The sequence below is a fragment of the Homo sapiens genome, chromosome 3 (genome assembly GCF_000001405.40).
Source record: "Homo sapiens chromosome 3, GRCh38.p14 Primary Assembly".
NCBI lineage: Eukaryota > Metazoa > Chordata > Mammalia > Primates > Hominidae > Homo > Homo sapiens.
This window is the reverse complement of record NC_000003.12, coordinates 137,541,447-137,549,935: the sequence shown is the minus strand read 5'-3', so window position 1 is coordinate 137,549,935 and position 8,489 is coordinate 137,541,447. Positions and strand designations below refer to the sequence as shown.

The following is an 8,489-nucleotide window of genomic DNA, read 5'->3' as shown; positions in this document are numbered from 1 at the left end:
GAAGAATAAGTGCCTGAGAATGGCCAAGATTATTATGAAATTAGATAATGTTCAGGAAGTTTGCCTCACATTGTTAAAAAATTAAAATAAAAAAAAAGAAAGATAAGAGCCCAGAAATAGATGTTGATACATGAGTGAATTTATTTATTTATTTATTTTTATTATACTTTGAGTTCTAGGGTACATGTGCACAACGTGCAGGCTTGATACATAGGTATACATGTGCCATGTTGGTTTGCTGCACCATCAGCTCATCATTTACATTAGGTATTTCTCCTAATGCTATCCCTCCCCCAGTCCCCCACCCCACAACAGGCCCCAGTGTGTGATGTTCCCCACCCTGTATCCAAGTGTTCTCATTGTTCAATTCCCACCTTTGAGTGAGAACATGTGGTGTTTGGTTTTTCTGTCCTTGTGACAGTTTGCTGAGAATGATGGTTTCCAGCTTCATCCATGCCCATGCAAAGGACATGAACTCATCCTTTTTATGGCTGCGTAGTATTCCATGGTGCATATGTGCCACATTTTCTTAATCCAGTCTATCATTGACAAACATTTGGGTTAGTTCCAAGTCTTTGATATTGTGGATAGTGCTGCAGTAAACATACTTGTCCATGTGTCTTTCTAGTAGCATGATTTATAATCCTTTGGGAATATACCCAGTAATGGGATCGCTGGGTCAAAAGGTATTTCTAGTTCTTGAACCTTGAGGAATCGCCACACTGTCTTCTACAATGGTTGAACTAATTTACACTCCCACCAACAGTGTAAAAGTGTCCCTATTTCTCCACATGCTCTCCAGCATCTGTTGTTTCCTGACTTTTTAATGATTGCCATTCTAACTGGCGTGAGATGGTATTTTGTTGTGGTTTTGATTTGCATTTCTCTGATGACCAGTGATGATGAGCATTTTTTCATGTGTCTGTTGGCTGCATAAATGTCCTTTTTTGAGAAGTGTCTGTTCATATCCTTTGCCCTCTTTTTGATGGGGTTGTTTTTTCTTGTGAATTTGTTTAAATTCTTTTTAGATTCTGCATGTTAGCCCTTTGTCAGATGGGTAGATTGCAAAGATTTTCTCCCCATTCTGTAGGTTGCCTGTTCACTCTGATGGTAGTTTCTTTTGCTGTGCAGAAGCTCTTTAGTTTAATTAGATCCCATTTGTCTATTCTGGCTTTTGCTGTGATTGCTTTTGGTGTTTTAGTTACGAAGTCCTTGCCCATGCCTATGTCCTGAATGGTATTGCCTAGGTTTTCTTCCAGGGTTTTTATAGTTTTAGGTCTAACATTTGAGTCTTCAATCCATCTTGAATTAATTTTTGTATAAAGCATAAGGAAGAGATCCAGTTTCAGCTTTCTACATATGGCCAACCAGTTTCCCAGCACCATTTATTAAATAAGGAATCCTTTCCCCATTTCTTGTTTTTGTCAGGTTTGTCAAAAATCAGATGATTGTAGATGTGTGGTATTATTTCTGAGAACTCTGTTCTGTTCCATTGGTCTATATCTCCGTTTTGGTACCAGTACCATGCTGTTTTGGTTACTGTAGCCTTGTAGTATAGTTTGAAGTCAGGTAGCGTGATGCTTCCAGCTTTGTTCTTTTTGCTTATGATTGTCTTGGCAATGTGGGCTTCTTTTTGGTTCCTTATGAACTTTAAAGTAGTTTTTTCCAATTGCATGAAGAAAGTCATTGGTAGCCTGATGGGGATGGCATCCAATCTATAAATTACCTGGGGCAGTATGGCCATTTTCACGATATTGATTCTTCCTATCCATGAACATAGAATGTTCTTCCATTTGTTTGTGTCCTCATTTATTTAGTTGAGCAGTGTTTGTAGTTCTCCTTGAAGAGGTCCTTCACATCCCTTGTAAGTTGGATTCCTGGGTATTTTATTCTCTTTGTAGCAATTGTGAATGGGAGTTCGCTCATGATTTGGATGTTTGCCTGTTATTGGTGTATAAGAATGCTTGTGATTTTTGCACGTTGATTTTGTATCCTGAGACTTTGCTGAAGTTGCTTATCAGCTTAAGAAGATTTTGGGCTGAGACAATGGGGTTTTCTAAATACACAATCATGTCATCTGCAAAAGGGGCAATTTGACTTCCTCTTTTCCTAATTGAATAGTCTCTATTTCTTTCTCTTGCCTGATTGCCCTGGCCAGAACTTCCAACACTATGTTGAATAGGAGTGGTGAGGGAGGGCATCCTTATCTCATGCTGGTTTTCCAAGGGAATGCTTCCAGTTTTTGCCCATTCAGTATGATATTGGGTGTGGGTTTGTCATAAATAGCTCTTATTATTTTGAGATACATTCCATCAATACCTAGTTTATTGAGAGTTTTTAGCTTGAAGTGCTGTTGAATTTTGTCAAAGGCCTTTTCTGCATCTATGGAGATAATCATGTGGTTTTTGTCGTTGGTTCTGTTTACATGATGCATTATGTTTATTCATTTGAGTATGTTGAACCAGCCTTGCATCCCAGGGATGAAGCCAACTTGACCATGGTGGATAAGCTTTTTGATGTGCTGCTGGATTCAGTTTGCCAATATTTTATTGAGGATTTTCGCATTGATAATCATCAGGGATATTGGTCTAAAATTCTCTTTTTTTGTTGTGTCTCTGCCAGGCTTTGGTATTAGGATGATGCTGGACTCATAAAATGAGTTAGGGAGGATTCCCTCTTTTTCTACTGATTGGAGTAGTTTCAGAAAGAATAGTACCAGCTCCTCTTTGTACCTCCAGTAGAATTTGGCTGTGAATCCGTCTGGTCCTGGACTTCTTTTCGTGGGTAGGTTATTAATTATTGCCTCAATTTCAGATCCTGTTATTGGTCTATTCAAGGATTCAGCTTCTTCCTGGTTTAGTCTTGGGAGGGTGTATGTGTCCAGGAATGTATCCATTTCTTCTAGATTTTCTAGTTTACTTGTGTAGAGCTGTTTGTAGTATTCTCTGATGGTAGTTTGTATTTCTGTGAGATCAGTGGTGATATCCCCTTTATCAATTTTTATTGCGTCTATTTGATTCTTCTCTCTTTTCTTCTTTACTAGTCTTGCTAGCAGTCTATCAATTTTGTTGATCTTTTCAAAAAACCAGCTCCTGGATTCATTGATTTTTTTGAAGGGTTTTTTTGTGTCTCTATCTCCTTCAGTTCCGCTCTGATCTTAATTATTTCTTGCCTTCTGTTAGCTTTTGAGTTAGTTTGCTCTTGCTTCTCTCATTCTTTTAATTATGATGTTAGGGTGTCAATTTTAGATCTTTCCTGCCTTCTCTTTTGGGCATTTAGTGCTATAAATTTCCCTCTACACACTGCTTTAAATGTGTCCCAGAGATTCTGTTATGTTGTGTCTTTGTTCTCATTGGTTTCAAAGAACACCTTTATTTCTGCCTTCATTTCATTATTTACCCAGTAGTCTATCAGGAGCAGTTGCTCAGTTTCCATGTAGTTGCACAGTTTTGAGTGAGTTTCTTAATCCTGAGTTCTAATTTGATTGCACTGTGGTCTGAGAGACAATTTGTTGTGATTTGTATTATTTTACATTTGCTGAGGAGTGCTTTACTTCCAATTATGTGTTCGATTTTAATATAAGTGCGATGTGGTGCTAACAAGAATGTATATTCTGTTGATTTGGGGTGGAGAGTTCTGTAGATGTCTATTAGGTCTGCTTGGTGCAGAGCTGAGTTCAAGTCCTGGATATCCTTGTTAACCTTCTGCCTTGTTAGAGACCTACTCTTTGTAGGTCTCTAAGGACTTGCTTTATGAATCTGGGTGCTCCTGTATTGGGTGCGCATATACCTAGGATACTTAGCTTTTCTTGTTGAATTGATCCCTTTATCATTATGTAATGACCTTCTTTGTCTGTCTTGATCTTTGTTGGTTTAAAGTCTGTTTTACCAGAGACTAGGATTGCAACCTCTGCTTTTTGTTGCTTTCCATTTGATTGGTAGATCTTCCTCCATCCCTTTATTTTGAGCCTATGTGTGTCTGCACGTGAGCTGGTTCTCCTGAATACAGCACACCAGTGGGTCTTGACTCTTTATCCAATTTGCCAGTCTGTGTCTTTTAATTGGGGCATTTAGCCTATTTACATTTAAGGTTAATATTGTTATATGTGAATTTGATCCTGTCATTATGATGTTAGCTGGTTATTTTGCCCATTAATTGATGCAGTTTCTCCATAGCATCAATGGTCTTTATAATTTGGCATGTTTTTTCAGTGGCTGGTACCAGTTGTTCCTTTCCACGTTTAGTGCTTCCTTCAGGAGCTCTTGTAAGGCAGGCCTGGTGGTGACAAAATCTCTCAGCATTTGCTTGTTTGTAAAGGATTTTATTTCTCCTTCACTTAGGAAGCTTAGTTTGGCTGGATATGAAATTCTGGGTTGAATATTCTTTTCTTTAAGAATGTCGAATATTGGCCCCCACTCTCTTCTGGCTTGTAGGGTTTCTGCTGAGAGATCCGCTGTTAATCTGATGGGCTTCCCTTTGTGGGTAACCCGACCTTTCTCTCTGCCTGCCCTTAACCTTTTTTCCTTCATTTCAACCTTGGTGAATCTGCCAATTATGTGTCTTGGGGTTGCTCTTCTCTTTATGGTGTTCTCTGTATTTCCTGAATTTGAATGTTGGCCTGCCTTTCTAGTTTGGGGAAGTTCTTCCGGATAATATCCTGAAGAGTGTTTTCCAACTTGGTTCCATTCTCCCTGTCACTTTCAGGTACACCAATCAAACGTAGGTTTGGTCTTTTCACATAGTCTCATATTTCTTGGAGGCTTTGTTTGTTTGTTTTTACTCGTTTTTCTCTAAACTTCTCTTCTTGCTTTATTTCATTAATTTGATTTTCAATCACTGATACCTTTTCTGCCACTTGATCAAATCGGCTATTGAAGCTTGTGCATTCGTCATGTAGTTCTCATGCCATGGTTTTCAGCTCCATCAGGTCATTTAAGGTCTTCTCTACACTGTTTGTTCTAGTTAGCCATTTGTCTAACCTTTTTTCAAGGTTTTTAGCTTCCTTGTGATGGGTTTGAACATGCTCCTTTGGCTCAGAGAAGTTTGTTATTACCGACCTTCTGAAACCTACTTTTGTTAATTGATCAAAGTCATTCTCCGTCCAGCTTTGTTCTGTTGCTGGCAAGGAGCTGTGATCCTTTGGAGGAGAAGGGGCGCTCTGGTTTTTAGAATTTTCAGCTTTTCTGCTCTGGTTTCTCCCCAACTTTGTGGTTTTATCTACCTTTGGTCTTTGACGTTGGTGACCTATAGATGGGGTTTTGGTGTGGATGTCCTTTTCGTTGATGTTGATGCTATTCCTTTTCGTTTGTTAGTTTTCCTTCTAACAGTTAGGTCCCTCAGCTGCAGGTCTGTTGGAATTTGCTGGAGGTCCACTCCAGACCCTGTTTGCCTGGGTATCACCAGTGGATGCTGCAGAATAACAAATATTGCAGAACAGAAAATATTGCTGCCTGATCCTTCCTCTGGAAGCTTCATCCCAGAGTAGCACCCGCCTGTATGAGGTGTCTGTCGGCCCCTACTGGGAGGTGTCTTCCAGTTAGGCTACATGGGGGTCAGGGACCTACTTCAGGAGGCAGTCTATCCATTCTCAGATACACCCGCCTGTATGAGGTGTCTGTTGGCCCCTACTGGGAAGTTTTTCCCAGTTAGGGTACACGGGGGTCAGGGACCCACTTGAGGAGACAGTCTCTCCTTTCTCAGAGCTCAAACACCATGCTGGGAGAACCACTGCTATCTTCAGAGCTGTCAGACAGGGACATTTAAGTCTGCAGAAGTTTCTGCTGCCTTTTGTTCAGCTGTGCCCTGCCCACAGATGTGGAGTCTATAGAGGCAGTAGGCCTTGCTGAGCTGCAGTGAGCTCTGCCAGTTAGAGCTTTCCCGGCCACTTTGTTTACCTACTGAAGCTTCAGCAATGGCAGATGCCCCTCCCCCAGCCAGGCTGCACCCCTGCAGGTCTATCTCAGACTGCTGCGCTAGCAGTGAGCAAGGCTCCGTGGATGTGGGACCCACTGAGCCAGGCATGGAAGAGAACTTCCTGGTCTGCCGGTTGCTAAGACCATGGGAAAGTGCAATATTGGGGCAGGAGTGTCCCGTTTTTTTCACGTACAGTCTGTTACGGTTTCCCGTGGCTAGGAAAGGAAATCCCCCGACCCCTTGTGCATTGGAAATGCCCCGACACCTTGCCCTGCTTCAGCTCGCCCTCTGTGGGCTGTACCCACTGTCCAACCAGTCTCAATGAGATGAACCAGGTACCTGCAGAAATCACCCATCTTCTGCGTCAATCACGCTGGGAGCTGCAGACTGGAGCTGTTCCTGTTTGGCCAACTTGGAACAGGGGATGGAGTGAATTTAATATATGAAAACAATGGCATTCCAATCTAGTGGAAAAGAATAGTTTCTTAATAAATGGTACTGGAACAATTGGCAATCCGTATGTGCCATTTTGGATTATAATCCACATAATCCAAATGTCTCTATAAAAATTTCAGATGCATGAAAGATAAATGGGAAAAAAGATTTTAAAATATTAGAAAACATAGGAGATTACATGTGCAACTTTAAGGCTGAGGATACCATTTTCACCAACATAGCAAACTCAGAAATTATAAAATAATAGAGGAACCTAATTGACTATATAAAGAATTTTCAGGGGGAGTAACTTAAGATGGTTGAGTAGACACAGTCAGGAGAAACATTTGCCACTGATGGATCAGGACATCAGGCAGACTGGGCGCACTTCTAGCAGACCTTCAGAGGGAAGATATTGAGAGTGAATGGAGGGAAGATACAGATGCTAGGCTGAGGGGAGGTGAAGCTTGCAACAGCACTGGGACTCATTCCTAGTCCCCAACAACTCTTGGGGAATAAGTGAGTTGAACAGGCAAGGAGCAACCTGCTCTTGCCATGGGTCTCTATAATCGTGGCAGCAGGAGATGCCATGATCCCCATGGACACTTGAGGTGGCAGAGAGAGCTGCTTAGAGAAGTGGTAGGGGCAGAACTCCAGCCTATGTGGAGCCCAGAGGGTTTGGTATGGGAGCATCTGTAGTGGAGCACAGCCAGGGATGACCATCCCCAAGGCTCACCTTGTTCCCCTAGGAGACCTTAGTCCAAGGGGAACTGTTAGACCTGAACAGTGCAGGGCAGTCTTGCCCTTGAGATGGGGCTGGTCTGACCTGAGCACGCTTTGGTCTGCTGGTCTCTCTTGGGGCCACAGCATGGCTGCACCTGCTTGCAGTGCAGCCTTGGATGCCCACATGGTGTGCCTTTTGGGGGGCTCCCAGCATAGTTCCTGCACTGGTGGATTGTGACTTACTGGCAGAGAGCTTCAGTAGAGCAGCACCAGTCTGCTTGCACCCTTCCCCAACTGCAGCCTCCCCCATGCCACTTTGCCTGTACGTGGTCACCTATAGCCAATGCCCAAATTGTTTTGCCAGCACGAGTGTGCAGGGGCAGACATTGCCTCCACTTCTCTACCAGTGTGTGGGAGCATGTAGACCCTGCCAGGTCACTGATGCCAGCATGAGTGCACCTCCCCCCCCCATCCCCTGCACTGTGCTGGCATTGCCATCAGAGCATTTGCAGGCACACAGACAGAGAGCCCTACACTTGCTGGCACCCCACCCCTTCACCAACACTGCTGCCAGGGTGAACTATGCATGGTCACCATGGACTCACCCTGCACCCTGTGCTGCCACAGCTGCCCACATGAACATGCACATAGAAGGCACACATAGTCCTGTGCCCACCAGTGCCCCGCTCCTGTGCTAACACTGCCACTGGTATGAGTGCACGTGTGGATGCTGGAGGGACATCCTGGCCCTTCCCCTGTTCTGTGTTGCCGTTGCTGCTACTGCAGATGCTGCCTTTGCAAACACCCACATGGAGGCCAGCACCCCTGCAACCACCAACCCCCTGCTGCAGCCAAAAAGCATGTACCCAACCACACTGCCATTGTTGCTGGCATATGCAAATGAGGACAGGTCCTACTGCCACTGCTCTATGAAGCACTTTGGCCAGCACCACCTATTGGAATGTTGTGGCCAGTGGACCAGGAACACGTTGGCTCCTTCAGTGCAGCAGATTCCTAAACATGAGGGGCTAAAAACAAAGTCAAGGGCCCAAAGGCTCCCAGAGTTAGAACAAGCAGTCCATGAATCCTGAACTAAGCGTTGGCCCCTGAAAATCTTCCAGCTTATGCCACAATCAACCCCCAAGGACATCAAATAGAATAAAAAAAATCCAAAGGACAGCAACTTCAAAGACTGAAGGAACATCAGCCTATGAAGATGACAAAGAACCCACGTGAGAGCTCTGACAATTCAAAAAGCAAGAGTGTCTTTTTTTTTTTTTTTTTCCCACAGAGCCTTTCTCTGTCGCTCAGGCTGGAGTGCAGTGGCAGAACCACGGCTTACTGCAACCTCCGCCTTCTAGTTTCAAATAATTCTCATGCCTCAGCCACCTGAGTAGCTGGGACCACACGCATGTGCC

At 43.5% G+C, this 8,489-nt stretch overlaps 1 annotated feature.

Moving 5' to 3' along the window:
- Nucleotides 7,240–7,739: an enhancer, noted in NCBI's record as "H3K4me1 hESC enhancer chr3:137261039-137261538 (GRCh37/hg19 assembly coordinates)". NCBI's record gives its function as "activates a minimal SCP1, AML or CMV promoter by ChIP-STARR-seq in primed H9 embryonic stem cells {active_cell/tissue: H9 hESC(primed)}" and the evidence as "EXISTENCE:reporter gene assay evidence [ECO:0000049][PMID:30033119]".